Genomic DNA, 17797 nt, shown 5'->3' with positions numbered 1-17797 from the left:
ATGCAATGCCTGCTAATTCTTACGGCAGTTTAAGAGGAGACAAAAAGAATTAACAGGATTTTTACCTGCTCCAAATGTTTGAGACCTTCTTCATCATCAGGTTCTGTGGAAACACTGCCCATACCAGGAGCACCTACAACTGGTGTTTCAACTGGCCGGAGAGTAGGACTAGGATTGGGAACAGGAGGTGGAAGTATGAGAAGAGGAGAGGCTGTATCTGAAGGAATCTGCGACAGGGGCTGCTGGACATCAGCAACCATTTCTAGGGGGAAAAAATCAGATGAAAATCCTTTGAAATACAGAGACTTCTGTGAAGGCTAACTACATTATCAAGTCGCACAGCCTGCTAAATGGGCCAAACAGAAAACGTGAGCCCTGTCATGAACAGTGAAGCTACTTCTATGGAGAAACGTAATATTCCTTCCTAGAGTGACAAAATTACCTACACAGAATGACAAAAGGTAAGAGTTAAAAGGTATCTAAAAGGTGCTTCTCCAGGGCTTACCTGTGTCACCAGAGCATCTACCCAGTTACAGGTTGACCTCTTAGAAACAATCAGTCTAATCCTTTCTTCATAACATGTCTCCAATTGTAAAAGTTAACAATGCACCCTAAATCTTCTGAAAGATATGTCATCTCTCATCAAAACCTTTACTGAAAATATCAATGATTATGCTCAGTAAGTACCTGTTTCAAGTCATGATTAATATAATTCAATATATTACATGTTGTAGGATAATTAGAAGCACTTGGAGTCTACCTGTACAGTGCAGGATGTTCTTCTCAATAGGAATACAAATTATAAAAGAGGTTCTGTCTTTGTTCCTATTTCTAACCTCTCAGTGTGCAGGTTCTTAAGAAGGAAAAGGGGGATGGAAGTAATTAGGTATAATCGCAGTTTCCCCTTTGAAATCTTGTTTGTTCAATTACAGATAGCTTCTCCAAATTCCTGCTCCTCTCACTGACTCATTCTTTGCCATACTTTTTAAAAGGATAGTCTATACATGCTGTCTCCACTTTACTCACACCTGCTATAAGGGGACTTCTACTCTCACCTTTCCAGTAAAGCTCCTCTCTCAAAGATAAGCAGTGACACAAAGTTGCCAAATACAATGACTTTTCCTAGTCTTCCTCATCCAATCTCTTAGTAGCATCTGACATTATCAACTCAATTCTAAGCTAAAACATCCCCATTCCTTAGTTTCCCTGCACTCTACTCTCCTGTCTCTACTTTTACCTCTGAGGATTTTTCTCTGGTTCCTCTTCTTCTACCCTTTAAAAATGGGAATTACTCAAAGTTCTTTTCTTCTTACCCCTACTAAGTATATGCAATCTTTTCAATTTTCATTCTCTCTCTAACCCTAAACTACTCCCATCTAGCTACAGTCCCTCATTCACAACTGCTCTCTCGCCATCTCCACTTAACTTCTTCTCGTCAACACCTCAGAACCAGTGTTCAAAACTGAATTTCTCTCTCCTCTCCCCAGTGTGCTCCTCTATGGTGAATGGCACCATAATCCTCTCAGGCTCTTTGGCTCTTCCCTCTTCTTTTCGTGTGAATGGCACCATAATCCTCTTATAATCCTCTTTGGCTCTTCCCTCTTCTTTACCCTGATATCCAGTCAATGACTGAGTCCTGACAGTTTCTACTTTAAAATCTCACCTGCCACAACTTCCCTTTACAGGTGTACTATCTACCCCATAGTGACTGCTCAGGAGTCTAAGCGGTCACAGTGAAGCCAAACTGTCATCACAAGATAGTCTATACCCTGCTGTCAAATCCATGTTCTAACTACGTTTCCCAATATCCTCCTTTTCACACTTCATATTTCATCAAATAAAAACAAGAGCTGATTTCCTGCCCAAGCCTGGATCAGTCCCACTTCTTCACTTTAGCTTTCACTGCTCCCTAGTACTGGAATGCCTTCTCCCAATTCATCTATCTACACTTACCTCCAAATTCTACTTATTATTCCAAGATGTGTTCAGAGACCACCTACTTCCTGAAGCATCCCAAGAGTCTGCCAACAGTGAACCCTTATCTTACTTTTTGCCCTAGAATAGTGATATATGCACACTTTATCTCCTCTACACACTATAAATCTGGAGTTTCGACCTTTAATGTACATCTATGAAGCCTTCTCAGAATATATATATCTAGACTTGATCCAAGAATTTCCTGAATAAGGCTTCAAGCACGTACATTCAAAAGAATGTACCACAAGTAGTTCTGGGGCATATCCTACTACAAATCAAACTGCCTCAAAGATATATCAGTCTCACAGTGCCTGCTATGTAGAGCACAGATTCAAATACTTGCTGAGCTAACCAGGAAGCTAAGGGCAGGAGGATCACTTGAGCCCAGGAGTTCGGATCCAGCCTGAACAACATAGTGAGGCCCTGTCTCATTTTTGTTGTTGTTTTGTTTTTAGAGACAGGGGTCTTGCTATTGCTATGTTGTCCACACTGTTCTCAAACTCCTGGGCTCAAGTGATCTCCCCCATTTCAGCTTCCCGAGTAGCTGGGATTACAAGCACGTGCCATCACACCCAGTTAATCCCATCTCTTTAAAAAAATAATCAGCTTTGTTCTAGACATTTAAAAAATTGAAAAATTCCTGGGTTTGAGCTCTCAAAATATTAGTCTACTGGGAAAACAAGGTAATAAACATCTTTATGATATTATAATGCTATGTTAGAAATAAGCCTGGTTGTTTAAGAAACGAAGAAGACACCTACCCTAGTTTGGGGGCTTTGGGTGGAAGAGAGTTTCAAGAACAGAGAAAAGGATGTGCTAAGGTACGAATCCTAGAAAACAGGAGACAGTTCAGGACCTAAAAGGCTTTGAGGCTGGTAAGTAGAACGTGAGGGAAGTAAAGAGGCTGGCAATGAAACTGCACAAAGGGAAGCAGATGCCAGATTGTGCAGTGTCTCATATGCCATGTTAAAGGGTATCAATTTTTATGGTAAATGAATCAAGTAACCCTTCAACGTCAGGCATTACAATGACATTTTTAAATACGTACAAGAAGAAACATGGAAATGAGCATTAATATTGCCTAATAAAGTGTATGAGCAACTTAAACCAATACACTAACAACTGAAAGAGATATGTTTTAAGCTTATTCTGCCACAGATTCACATATGTTCTCTACTTGTCCTCTTTTAGAAAAATGGCATTTTGGTGTGTCATCTGGTAATTTAAGCTGGGCACATAATTAGTCAACACATGAAAGGAAGGTAACTGTCTAATACGGGAATCAAACTAATGCAAAGGCTATGACACCCAGTTCACCAGTAATGACAGGGTGGCTATGTCATAACACCTTAGGACATGAGATTCCAGAGCTCCACCCTTGCAGATTCGAACTCTGTTTTGGTAATTCTGAGATGGACACATACGTGAGAAGCACTGTTTGACTGGGTTTACTGGTAAAATAATCTATTCCGATAATTCACCCACTAAAAGCAGTTCTAGGAGGCATAAGCAGAAGCCTAACTTATCAGTGATCACTGGCCTCAGCAGAATCCTATTTTAGCTTGTCTATTCCCACAAATACATACCATCCCCTCTGCTGGGCACTTTGGCTGGTAGACTATTTTCCATCCGAGTCTCCTCTTCAGCTTTTTCCGTTTGCTCAGTTTTTGGTTCATCTTTCCTCTCAAACTGTGATGCTTCCTGAGACTGATGGTCTGAAGGAGTACCTGGTCTAGCAGATGATGATGAGGTCTGGGGAGTTTCCTCACTAGCTTCTGGAACACGAAGTAATCTTAGTTGAACTTACGAAAGTTTTGGTTTGATGGAGGAAAAAAAAGGCAAAGGGCAAGAAGAGGCCTTACCAACTCCTACTCTATCTGTTTTCTCTCCTTCTTTCTTATTTGTCTTATCGGGTTCTTTGGCCTCTTCATTATGGCTACCCTCAGAGTCAGAGCACTCCTCCCCTTCGTCCACAGGCCGGAAGTCCATCTCCTGCTCTTCTGGAATAGGCTCTTTCTGTACTTTCTGTAGAAAGAGAATAAAACCAAAGATCAACAGCAGATTTGGCTTTGGTATAAGGTTAATGCTGGTCATGACATTTAAAACACGTTTCTTACTTTTAGAGAAAGGAATGCTCCAGATGAGTCAAATGTACCCATTTCTTCTTCAGCATCCTCTAAGCACCATTCGGGCAAGCTATCCCTGTCATCATCTATGCTCCCACTGCCAGAGCGAACCCTTCGGTAACCCCGTTCATCATCTCTATCTCGAAAATCAAACTCAAACCTCCGACGTCGTTCCATGTGTTCCCGCCAGCCTGCAGAACGAGGGCCATCTGAGATGAGAAGGAGGACACAAACCTTAGAAAAGTTTTATGACAGTATTTGAATAAGAAAATCAGGAATAGAAAATAAAGGAGAAAACTACAAGTGACCGCAAACTCAAATGGACTGACCTAGTAAAGAGAACATTAGGCAACTAAATGAAGTTCAGAGTTCAGAGTATATGTACCATTACGAGATGACAACAGTACTTAAGTACTGAGCCAGGCAACATACTCTAAAGCTTTAAAAGATAAATCTAAAATGCAGTACATTTAAAGGACACTGTATTCCAAGTACGCACTTTCAGTAAGTCCTAGGTACTTGATTAAAATACTGATTAGCCGCCAACTCCTCATCCAGACTTAATGCACTAGACATCCTTCCATACTGAAGTTTACACCTTCCTTTTGCCCAATCTTAAAGCATTTTCTTTCTTCCCATGAAAATATCATTGTTTGTGGATAAAATCAGCTCCCTGTGTTGACTTATATCAAACTCATCATGACTATTTATTAATGCCAGGTTCCCACTTGTAATTCTGATCCTCCCCCAAAAATTCACAAAATTACAGTGCTGAAAGTTGTCACAGAGATTTTATGAAGTTCACTATCCTAATTTTATAGTTTAAGAAGAAACTAAAACTTTGCCAGCAGAAGTAACTCGCACATGGCAAAGTAGAACTAAAATCCAATTCTGCACCCTCTGCTGCTTGTTCCACAATAACATACTTACTCCTCTCCCTTCTTTCTCATCTCTTAATTCTCCCTATCCATATAATACCCCTACGGACATTCCCAAATCTACATTTCCCAACAGAAGAAAAGATTGCCTAATAATAAGAGATCCTACTTAAGATATTTTTCTAAAAAAAAGAAAGGGAAACTCTTGCTAAAATCTGACAGACCTGAGTCTAAAAGAGTCTTAAAAAGAAAAGCAGGCTTTAACCTATTAGAATTTTCCATCCTTGACTGCTTTCTCTGTGGGGGATAAGAAAAAGAAATGTGGCCAGAGTTAAATGTTCTCACTATTGAGACAAACTTTGCAAAAACCAGCAATCTAAAAATCAAATTGGAAAACAAAGGGCAAAACGTTAAAATGCCAAATACAGGTAGCATCTGATAAGCCACTCACAAAAAAGAAATCTTAGTCCCACACTCCCATCCCTTCATATAAAAACAACAAAACACTATTTACTACTTCCTATGAGAACTAAGGAATTTTATACTCAGACTGCTTACGTGGAAACCTAGAGCCATTATGTGAAAAGAGTCTTCATGATCAAATGAATTCCAGAGCCCTCTGTACTGCTTTCATTTCTAACAGTCTAAATGTACATCATGACAGGAATCTATCCTTCTAGGTACCTGGCTCATGTTTCTCCTCTTACTGACTTTCCTAGGTTCAGCTCCCAGACTGGATGCCTCCCTGTCCTTAATGTTCCCACCCCCACGCACATCCAGCCGGAAGCCCTATTTTATATCCCATAATGTTATCTTATCAGTAGTTCATAAAATTTTACTCACGAAACTAAACATAGCAAGTAAGACATGCAAGGTACTTATTAAGGCTGACTGCTGATTTACAGACCCTACATCTAAACTAAAGTTGGATACTATTTTCATAAAATCAGTTAAAATAATTTAAAGTTTTACTCAAATCTTAATAAAAGATTAACCATAAACTAACAAACGTTAAGAGTTAACATATGAAAACTGCTATAATCAGGCTATACTTTGAATATACTGGGTTTAAAAAGTGAATCGTATTCTTTTTTAAAATGCATTTACACTGTTTTTTCAGACCCAAACTTTATATTTGGGGGATCTTTATATCCCCCAAACTGTCTTTTAAAAATATATGGATTTCAGCCACAGGTGTGACTGAAAAAATATATATGTATATGGATTAAAAGTTCTGGAAGATACACAAGTTGATGACAAAAATGATATGAAAGTCAAATATTAGGGGGAAAGAAAGATTCAGAAAAGATGAGAAGAAGATAATATATAACCAAATTCTAAGTTGTTGGGTGGGAGGTACTTTGTTAAACTCCCTTTAATAGAATCAACATCAGACATTTGGGCTCAAAAAACACAGTTCATCTTCCAAAACATTCACCTTGTTTGTTTTTGACCAGCTGGAATTTCTTTTCTCTCTCAGCCCAGATCCTATCCATTCTTCACTGAATGCTTGTTGGGAACATAGTCTACAAACCCTCTGCCTACGGACAAGCTCAGCATAAAATGCAGTGATGCCTTTTAGAGAACTATAACATCTGGCCCAGGTCACAGACTAATGAAAATTGTCTAGACCTTGTGATGTAAACAATGCCCACTAATGACAGAAAACCCACCCAAGAGGCAGCCATGAAGAGTTGGTATAAAACCATCCTAACTCTACCCAAACATTAACTTCAGTATGTTTCTATCTACCTACCACTTCCTTAAAATACTCTGAATGCCTGTTATAATGTCTACCCAGATCTAAGCTAGTGGTTTTGCTAATAACTTGATTTTTAAAAGTGAAAACAGTTTACTTATCATAATTTCCTGTATTAAAGGTAAGCCCCTCTGGCACATGGTTGATAAAATACTGTCATACACATGAAATTCATAGGGCATTCCACATATACTCTGTGTGCTTCAGTTTTGCATGACCCCACAATTGGAACTACAGTTGCATCTGATTATCATGAGGCATGGAATCAGCACTGTGGTACAGGATGAACTTTAACACAAAGCACTAGTGTCTTCAATTACTAGCATATCTAATGTCCAAGAAGAACAGTTTGAGCATTTTTAAGAGACAAACAGAAGAACTTTAAAAGCCACTAATCACTACTATTGTCTCTCCTTCTTCTAAAGTTAGAAGGACATAAGAATGAACTTGTGATTATGTTTCTGACCTAGGTTTAAAGCTTATTCTTCAAATAAGGTTAAATCACATTTTCAAAAGGGAAAAAATGAAAGAATAAACCCTTTCTTGTTAGGAAAAACACTCATTGTTGGGGAGGGAAGCACATATTTCAAGTGTGTAATTTTTACACATTTATAAATCTTAAAGAATGCTAAAAAAGATTCAGAGATTTAGAGGTAGACAAAACTGAATGAAACCCTCATTTCTGCAGTTGAGCGCAGGTGCTTCCCATTAAACTACACTATTTGCCCCAGAAAAATAGAAAAGTGATTTCAATCAACTGAATAGATGTAGGAAATTTTTATGTTGCAATTTTTTCTAGTAATAAAACTGTGACAGCATAAATAATATGAATCCACCCCCACATTTTTTAAGCCAGTTTATCTTTTTCATTTAATCCCTATTTCCATCAAACTTTCCCTTATTTCAGTCCCTGTGTGCCTTTACTCAACAGAATTCTTACCAGGACTGTGAGGTCGCCACCTCTCTCCATCCCTCCTTGATCCAGCTAGTCGCCAACCTCCATCTTCATCTTCTCCATTTTGTTCCTCTCTAAAGATGCGCCAATTTTCACTTTCTGAGCGTATAAATTCATGCTTTCTCCCTACTGATGTTGGTCCACCTTCCTCAAAATTTGGTCTCCCTATAAAGAAAATAATATGGTAAGTAAACATGAGCCTCTGCCAGTATAGGCTTTGAAAACAAACTTCACAGCTCAAATCAAGCTTTCCTGCAAATGGGTCCATTTCAATATTCAGAAAAAAATCACTAAAATAACAGTGGGTATATGTATATATTATTAGACACATTTCTTAAAGCCATGTTCAGAGACTGGGCAATTTTTTTAAACAAAAATATTATGTAAAATTTTTTTTGAAAAAGCGTACAATGAAAAGTCCATCTTCCTACACAAGACCCTCAGAGTCGTACTCCCCAGAAGGAACCATCACCAAGTTTCTTATAAAGTCTTTCCAAACACTGTCCATGGGTACACTTACACATGTATACATAGCTCCCTCATCCACACACACAAACGCCACCCTCAGGATGTTATAAATGTTGTTTTGTTTGCTGTTTTCACTAACAGTGTATCTTGCCAATCCTTCCTTACTAGCACATACTTTTTAAAGTTATAAGATATTTTTCATCATACAACATACTTTATATAACCAACACCTACTGGTGATTCTGCCTAAACATGATATCTGTACATTTCAGGCCGTCTTTCATTCCAAAACAGATTATAAACTGAAAAGCAGGCCGCGTGGTGGCTCACGCCTATAATCCCAGCACTTTGGGAGGCCGAGACAGGTGGATCACGAGGTCAGGAGTTGGGAGACCAGCCTGGCCAATGTGGTGAAACCTCATGTCTACTCAAAATACAAAAATTAGCTGGGTGTGGTGACAAGTGCCTGTAATCCCAGCTACTCAGGAGGCTGAGGCAGGAGAATGGCTTGAACCCAGGAGGCGGAGGTCGCGGTAAGCAGAGATCGCGACACTGTACTCCAGCCTGGGTGACAGAGCAAGACTCCGTCTCAAAAAAAAAAATTGAAAAGTAGTATAACCTCATTTACTCTAGCACCTAATACAATACAGGCATACCATAAATTGCTTTTGGACAGAATTTAAAGCTAAGCTATGTCTAACCTAATGTCTCAAAAGTTACATTAATGTCAAAAGAGAGCCTGGTATACCAAGTAAACTAAACTGGTATTTTAAAAGGACAAGATCATTCTAAATTGTGCAAACAAATTCTTCAGTCACCATTCCACATGTGCTAACATATATAACTCATAACATTTATAAAATCTCACATCAAAATAGTTGAAAATCCAGAATAACATACATTGATGTCCTCAGTTTATAACAATAAAAGTTCAAGTTCTCATAATGACAAACTCAATCCTTTTAATTAATCCATACTAAAAGTGAAAAAATAATTGAACAACAGCATATGAAAATGAAATTCTAATTTCTGGTCATTCTGTTATATTCCATCTTACATATATTGAGATTCAGCATCCTGCTTGTCCATATGGTTGTTAGTCTGCTACTAGGTATCATTCTACTGAAAGATAAAATATCTTGGGAGAATGGAAGACATGATCTGCTGCTTTCTTATTGTGGTGGACAGCCTCTAAGAGCTCACCAACAATCCCTGACTGCTGATCTCTGTGGAATCCTCTACCCCCAATTATAAGCTGGACTAACAGAATGCAGCTGAAGTGATGAGATGCCACTTAAAATATTAAAGAAGACTGTAGTTTCCATCTTGGACACTTTCTCTGAAGGACACTAGTTGCCATGTAGTGACACAGACCTCGTGGAGAAGCTTGCATGGCAAAGAACTGAGACTTACCACCAGAAACATGAGTGAGTCTGGAAGTGGATCAAACCCCAGTTGAGCTTTGAGAGACTGCAGCATGGGCTGACACCTTGAGTGCAGCCTTACAAGAACCCTGGGCCAGAACCACCCAGCTAGGCTAAGCTGCTTCTAGATTCCCAACCCACAGAAACTGAGATAATAAATGTTTGCTGTTTTGAACCACCAAGCAAGGGTTTTATTATCTATGACCTTGCTCTTACCTGCAGGACGTGTCTGGAATGTCAGAACTATATTCTGGCTTTCCTTGGTTTATTAGTCCATTTTGCATGGCTATAAAGGAATACCTGAGGCTGGGTAATTTATTAAAAAAAAAAAAAGAAGAAGAAGTTGTTTATTTGGCTCGTGGTTCTGCAGACTATACAAGCATGGCACCAGCATCTGTCTGGCTTCCAGTGAGACCTCAGGAAGCTGTTACTCATTGTGGAAGGTGAAGTGAGAGCAAGTATGTCACATGGTGAGAGAGGGAGCAAGAAAGATGACAGAGATCCCAGACTCTTGAACTCATTACAGTGGGGAGGGGATGAGGGATCCACCCTCATGACCCAAACACCTCCCACCAGGCCCCACCTCCAACACTGGCGATCACATTTCAACATGTGATCTGGAGGGGACAAACATCCAAACTATATCACTTGGTTTACCAGAGAAGTCATAATCTAAATCTATTGTAGTTATTATGTAATATCTGATATATCAAAAACCATATTGCAGCTTTTATAAATTATTTTGTGGCCAGGCGCGGTGGCTCACACCTGTAATCCCAGCACTTTGGGAGGCTAAGGCGGGCAGATCACGAGGTCAGATCAAGCTAACACGATGAAACCCCATCTCTACTAAAAATAGAAAAAATTAGCCGGGCGCGGTGGCGGGCGCCTGTAGTCCCAAGCTACTCAGGAGGCTGAGGCAGGAGAATGGCATGAACCTGGGAGGTGGAGCTTGCAGTGAGCCCAGATCACGCCACTGCTCTCCAGCCTGGGTGACAGAGCAAGACTCCGTCTCAAAAAAAAAAAAAAAAAAAAAGAAATTATTTCGTGTAAGTAGCTAGAACCTCAGGCACATGCCACCACACTCAGCTAAATTTAAAATTTCATTTTATTTAATTTTTGCAGAGATGGGGGTCTTGCTATGTTGTTTAGGTTGGTCTTGAACTTCTGGCCTCAAGTGATCCTTCTGCCTTGACCTCTTAGTAAATTATGTAGAAGGGCACTTCTGTATAATTTATTCAGTTTCTTCATCACTTATTTCCAACTGTTGCCCTAAACAGGCTTTTTAAAAATGTGATCATGTTATGAGAAAATCCTATCCATTTAATTTCAGGGATGCTGAATTTCAGGGAGCTAAATTTTTGATCCTTGTATGTAATTGTTACTGGTACGTAAGTAAATTTTATTGATACTACAAGTAAAAAACTAGATCTGAGGCTGGGCGTGGTGGCTCACGCCTGTAATCCCTGCACTTTGGGAGGCCGAGGCGGGCGGATCACCTGAGGTCAGAAGTTCGAGACCAGCCTAACCAACATGGAGAAACCCCGTCTCTACTAAAATACAAAAAAAATTAGCTGGGCATGGTGGCGCATGCCTGCAATCCCAGCTACTCGGGAGGCTGAGGCAGGAGAATCACTTGAAGCGGGTGGCAGAGGTTGCGGTGAGCCAAGATCGCACCATTGCACTCCAGCCTGGACAACAAGAGCTAAACTCCATCTCAAACAAACAAACAAAAAAACACCTAGATCTGACTTAGTAAACAAACAAAAAAAAAGAAATTATTTTGTGTAAATAATCACTTAGTAACAAAATTTAAGCTCCTTTATAGAAATTTCTGAACAAGTATTGTTCAAAATGGCTTGAACCAATATTCATGTAGAATGGTTTGGAACTAGTATTCTTGTAAATTCAGGCTACTTCATTCTCCACAACACCTCCAACCCCCTCTTTCACAAATGAGGAACTGGGTCTTCACTAGTCAAGGTGTGTAGATAAGAACTGGAGCCAAAAAAAATAAAAAACAAAATAATTAAAAAATAAATAAACAAAATAAGAAAAATAATAAACAAAACAAAAAATAATTGGAACCAGAATCTGAAACCAGGTCTAATGACTCCAAATCTCATCATTCTTTCTTTGGTGTTGCTTTCCTCTTTATCTTCAAATTTTCTGCCTCAAATCCTTTTTGGAACAAAGCATGCAGAATTGGTCATTCAAACTTTATGAGCTACAGGTTTTCCAACAGTTTGAGAATCACAAGGTTGTTTTAAATTTGTCTCTCTTTTGTTAGTACAGCCACATTTTTCATCAAGCCATATAAGTTCTGCCTCCAGAGGCCGTGCTCATTTTCATAAGGGTGAAAAGACCTCAAGAACTTTTAAAATGGACTTCACTCATCTCCCCACCTCTTTAAGAAAACATTTTTTAAAAGTACACTAATCACAAATGTACAACTGACAGTTTTCATAAAGCAAATACATATAATTTAACTACCACCTAGATTTTTAAAAAAAGATTTTAAGGAGCCTCAAAAATCTTCATGCGTCCTCCCAATCAGCCCTTCCCAAGATAAACACTATCCTAATTTCTAGCCCCAAATATTAGCTTTGCCTGCTTTTAAACTTTTTTATAAAATGGAATATTCATTTATATCTGGCTTCTTTTGCTGAACATTACGAAGATTCATTCTCCTTGCACAGGGGCCATGCTAATCTCTGTATCGTTCCAATTTTAGTGTATGTGCTGCCGAAGCAAGCACAGGAGATTCATTCTCATTGTTACAGGGAATATTTTGGTCTTTTACATGGCTGTACAGGATCTCACTGTATAAACAAACCACACGGTATTACTCTTATGCTACTGCTTAGAAACATTTAGGTTGTTTTCTACCTTTTTGCTATCATAAGAATTGTGCTTCTACGAATATTCTTGGACATGAGTTTTGGTAAGTATATGTTTGCATTTCTGTTGGGTATATACTTAGCATCAAAACTGCCAGGTCACAGTATGCTCAACTTTGTTGACTACTACTAAATATTTTCCCAAAGAAATAGTACTACTGGCCAGGCATGGTGGCTCACGCCTGTAATCCTAGCACTTTGGGAGGCTGAGGAGAGAGGATCACTTGAGTTTAGGAGTTTGAAACCAGACTGGGCAACATGGTGAGACCTCATCTCTGTATTTATCTATAATTTTTAAAATGTAAAAAAAAATTTTTTAAAAAGAAATAGTACTAATTTACCATTTGTTTGCTTGTTTGTTTTACTCAAACATCTAGCAACCATTAAATGACTCACTCCTTTACTGACAAACACAATTAGAGACACAGGATTAAAAACAAAGATAAGGCTGAGACATAGCACCTGATCCCCAGGTCCATGGACACACATGTAAATAAATAACCTTATTCAGTTGGCAAAATGTGTTAATGTATCTTATCTGATCTTCATAATAACCACAAGAGATTAAGTCAACCATCATTAACTCTCTTGCTTCTGCAAGGATAGGGATACCAGTAAGGTGGTTTCCCAAGGCCACACAGCTGAGTCATAATCAAATCAGAAACAGAACCTAGGCAGTGTTCAAACTCCTAACCCATGGTTTATTTCTACACTAAGTGATTCTTAATGGTTCACTCATAAATTTGACCCATTGGAAGCAGCCAGAAATTCTAGAGAAACTGAAATGGGAAGACAGAGATCTGGGATTTAAGTATAACAAGCTAAAAGGGTGGTAGACAAATCATGCATGGTACATTTAAGGAAAGTGTCAACATCTCTAAAAAGGGGAGACATAGAACTAAATTTGTTTTCATCTTCCCACAGAATGATTTCAAAATGCATGCTCCTGAAAAAAAAATGGTTAAGACCAACTTCTTCAATATAAAAATTTTATTCTAGAAATTATTTAGAAGGTGACTTCAGTCACAAAAATACACATTTCCAATTACTACTAATATAACTAAAAATTATACTGCATCTAAGCAATCCCCAAAAATATTAAAATAAATCCCTTCTAACCAAATTGATTACAGATTTACTTGTGTAAATTTGGATGGGTGGGTGGGTGGGAGTGCCAAGGAGACCATTATCTTTATAAGTTGTGTGTGTGTGTGTGTGTGTGTGTGTGTGTGTGTATTCCTGATATAATTTAAAATAAATAACAGGTCAGGCATGTTGGCTCATGCCTATAATCCCAGCACTTTCAGAGGCCGAGGCGGGCAGATCACCTGAGGTCAGGAGTTCGAGACCAGCCTGGCCAACATGACAAAACCCCGTTTCTACTAAAAGTACTAAAAATTAGCCTGGCCTGGTAGTGTGCGCCTGTAGTCCCAGCTACTCAGGAGGCTGAGGCAGGAGAATCACTTGAACCCGGGAGGTGGAGGTTGCAGTGAGCCGAGATTGTGCCACTGCACTCCAGCCTGGGCAACACAGCAAGACTCCGTCTCCAAAAATAATAATAATAAAATAAACATAAATAAATAATAAATATTAAAGTCATTCATGGGCAGTTTAGAAGATGACATCTAAGTTCCCTTCACGTCTAAAAATTCCAACAATTCATAGCAACGGAGACTAAAATGAGTGAGAGACAGTTACATGGCCCTTCTCAGCATTCAAAATCAAAGGCTTCCTCCTTCTGTAACGTCAGCACCATGACAAAGTTGACTAACCAAATACTGTATTTCAGTTGACTTACTTTTAAAATCTTAACAGATTTACAAACAAGATGATTTTAAAGTAAACCTTATTGAATTATTTACAAACTCATGCCTGAACCAAATATTCTTAATCTACAGTCAATGAATGAGCTCAGGGCTGTGAATCCTTGCACTGGACATGCACTTTGTGCTGGCATGCTTTCTTCTTCTTTCAGGGAAAAGGGTCTACAGCTTTCGTCAGAATTTTAAAGGTGTCTGTGACCCTCAAAAGGCAAAGAAACACAAATTTTAAATGTATTTTTTTCCATTCAATATAGCAAACATGACTATGAGGAAAACGATATATTTTATGTCCTTACGTTAAAAGCAAATTATGTAAAGGTGCTAAAATACATACGTACTACATATACAATTTCCCCAGTGGCAATAAATACTTGGTTGTTTCAATCTTAGTTTATTAAGTCCAAATAGGATTCATCTAAAAATTAAATTAAATTAAAATGCAGTGTTAGTTTTTGCCTGGTCTAACTGAGTGGACTTCCTAAGGAGAAAGAGCAGTAAAAGGGCACCTGTGTGCATGTTTGACCCACGGCCAAAAATAGTGTTTATGGAAAACTTCAGATGGAGCAAAGAGGCACTCAGCCAACAAAATCTACAGCTGTGAGACTTGGAGCTTACAAGTGCCCAATCTCCACAAGCTCCACAAGCAAAAGTGGAATTATGGGACAGACTTTGAAGCTTGTTTATGTGCAAATTTTTTAAGGAGTGACTTTGTATTACTCTGTTCAGATATATATTATCTGATCAACACCAAAAAAAAATCTAACACCAAAGAAAATGGTGAAAGGGCATCCCACTCAAGTGTTGATATTTACCACCCCTCTCCCCTACAATTACTTATAAACAAAACTCAGGGTGGCTAGGACAGAGCAGTTTAACTTCTGTACCCAGAGAGTTACGACTTTCTCCCTGAGGAATAAATAACCTGCTCAGCTGGTTAACAAGAGTCCTGAAAAAACAGCAGAGACTGGAGAAACTGCAGTGTATCAGAATCTCTGAAAAAGGTCCTCAGGCCATCTGAATATGTACCACAACCCTACAGCCCTCATGCTCAGCTGTCTGCTGGTACATACCCAGAGGCTGCCTGAAATCTGTGGGAAGGCAATTCGTAGTTGGCTTGGACATGTGGAAATGGAAAGAGACTAGGCATCTTCAAAAGAAAGCCAAGTACACTATGTAAGCAAGAACATGGAGACCAGAGCTAACGTTTTAAAGCTGTGAGATTACCTACTTACATAGGCCAGAAATCGCACTCCAACTGAAGATTTTACTGTTCTCAAGAAAAATGTGATACATTTATAGATATATAGTGAATTATTTCAGTCAGAAAGAAAATCAAATGCCTTTAGGGACAGAGGACTAGATTTAATACAGGATAATTAACCAGGTCTTGGTACCTTGTTTAATTTAATCATTATAATTTTGGAGACACAATCCATCAATCTATGAACAGGTATTTACCATTTATGTTCATTCACCGAAGAAATGTTTTAGAGCCATCTCCAATTACCTTACTGTGAAACAGCTACAACAGAAATAACAAATTGTCTAGATGGGAAGGACCATGAGTTTCTGGGTGAAGGTGGCATATCATCTGTGCCAATATCCGTGTCATCTCAGTGAAGGAGCCCCAGGAAACACCACCCCAAAATATACTGCTTTGGTATGCTCATTACTGCAAACTGAGAGAACTTAGGGAACAGCAAGCACAGGGAGGGGCCTTCTCTGATGCCCCCTTATCTCAAAAAATTCCTTTGTCCCCTCCCTAGAATTTCATCAATCAGGGAAGATTAACCTTATCACATAAGAGATTAAAAGGTCTAGTAGCGTTCTTCCTCAAGTTAATTTTCAATACCTGAAAGACTTTATCTCAATAACTAGACAACTTTTGTTCATCATACATTTCCTCCCCTCATTTTCCCACAGCTTGTCAATACCTTCCCCCAGGACCTCCACATCCCTATTCCAATGCTATAAGAACTTCAATCATCTGGTCCTTCCTCAAGTCTCATGTTTTGTGGGACTCTTGTGCATAAGGATGTAAACTGTTTTTCTTCTGTTAAGTCTACCTACTGTTGCTTTATATTATAGACTCAATTATCAAACCTTCAAAAGGAAGAGAGAAGGTCTTCTCTCTCCCCTACACCAGCTAACCTGGTAACTTCAACCAGAAATGACTTTAAATGCTCAGGCTATTGTAATGGGAGAGCTATGCTCCTAAGTGGGCACTTCAGAGCTGGTCTACAATATTCACAGCAGTAGGAATCACTGTTTATAGACCATAGCAAGACTTTCAAATTGTAGAGATCCAGAAATTAGCTTCACTTAAGACATTTCTTTCTTAATTGAAGATCATTTTGCCAAATCATTTTTGTCTCAATATATTGAAACCAAGTATACTATGGAAAAAGACTTTTAAGTTTAATAAAATCCTTAACTGTCTTGCCTACTATAATATGTATTCTCAGGCCAGGTGAAGTGGCTCATGCCTGTAATCCCAGGAATTTGGGAGGCTGAATTGAGAGGACAGCTTGAGCCCAGGAGTTCAAGACCAGCCTAGACAACACAGCAAGACCCTGCCTCTACAAAAAATAAAAAATTAGCCAGATGTGGTGGCATTACTGCAGGGGGTGGGGGATGAGGTGGGAGGATCACTTGAGCCTGGGAGGTCGAGGCTGCAGTGAGCTGTGATCACACCACTGCACTCCAGCCTGGGTGACACAGCAAGACTCTATGTCTAAAAAAAATGAAAATAAAAAATATACAATGTATATTCAAAACACATGACAGATACACTCAAGTGCTTCTGCTTTCTAGAAGCAGTATTATACTATACTTGTTCTAGTATTTTGTTGTTGTGTTGTTCTGTTTTTCTGCAATTTGTTAGCTGGGAATTGATACACATTATAATTCCTACCAGTACATGCAGGGAATGAGCATCACACCACAAATCCTTCTTTATACTTTACCTTCCCTAGTTCTGAAGGTCAGTGTTTCTAATGCTGTGTCTGAACTTGTGTTGAAGTATTTGGTACTAATAAAACAAAGAAGGAATTAATATATTTTTTAAATTGTGGGGCGGGGGGGGGACGGAGAGGATTCTACAAAGGCGGATTTCACTTTCTAAGTAGCATTATATTGGTCTACATTAATAATTTTCCCAGCAGGCCTTCCAAGATTTTACTTTGAACAATCACAGTCTTTGTTTCTCAGATCCTCTTACATGTGACATTTGGTCAAAGTTTTAAAATCAGCAGCTAACGGAGGAGGAGAAAAGTACTGTTCACTAAGGCACTGCACAAAGCCATACCACAGCACGTTTCAGGGTTCCAACAAGCTGGATCACATTTTCCAGCTAAACACTATTTCAATGTTGTGTTACATTTTCTGTACACTGTACACTATGTTTTATTAACACTATACTTCATCACACTGATCAGGAAAACATCTTCTAAACATCATTAAAATAAGCCTTAAGAAAATTCTTCGG

At 38.8% G+C, this 17797-nt stretch overlaps 1 protein-coding gene and 1 pseudogene across 5 annotated transcripts in view, besides 1 other annotated feature; both read right to left on the bottom strand.

Annotated features, from left to right (window-relative positions):
• Positions 1-17797, bottom strand: part of GIGYF2 (GRB10 interacting GYF protein 2) — a 163275-nt gene that overhangs the window by 65596 nt on the left and 79882 nt on the right. For 3 of the 5 annotated variants that reach the window (NR_103492.1, NM_001103146.3, NM_015575.4), the window contains 5 exons: positions 7681-7860; positions 4095-4312; positions 3840-4002; positions 3564-3752; positions 66-262 (listed from right to left, as the gene is read on the bottom strand). Coding sequence is in view for 4 of the 5 variants with exons in the window: in NM_001103146.3 (NP_001096616.1) it covers positions 66-262; positions 3564-3752; positions 3840-4002; positions 4095-4312; positions 7681-7860 (947 nt within the window). In the remaining variant the exon portion in view is untranslated. The remainder of the gene's footprint in view (positions 1-65; positions 263-3563; positions 3753-3839; positions 4003-4094; positions 4313-7680; positions 7861-17797) is intronic. The other 2 variants (NM_001103147.2, NM_001103148.2) reach the window with 2 other exon arrangements.
• RNU6-107P (RNA, U6 small nuclear 107, pseudogene) lies at positions 12244-12345 on the bottom strand (annotated as a pseudogene).
• Positions 14697-14991: a silencer, noted in NCBI's record as "tiled region #7298; HepG2 Repressive non-DNase unmatched - State 15:Elon". NCBI's record gives its function as "represses a minimal TATA promoter and a strong SV40 promoter by Sharpr-MPRA in HepG2 cells {active_cell/tissue: HepG2}" and the evidence as "EXISTENCE:reporter gene assay evidence [ECO:0000049][PMID:27701403]".

Source organism: Homo sapiens, chromosome 2 (assembly GCF_000001405.40).
Source record: "Homo sapiens chromosome 2, GRCh38.p14 Primary Assembly".
NCBI classification, from domain to species: Eukaryota; Metazoa; Chordata; class Mammalia; order Primates; family Hominidae; genus Homo; species Homo sapiens.
This window is presented reverse-complemented; position numbering and strand designations above follow the sequence as displayed.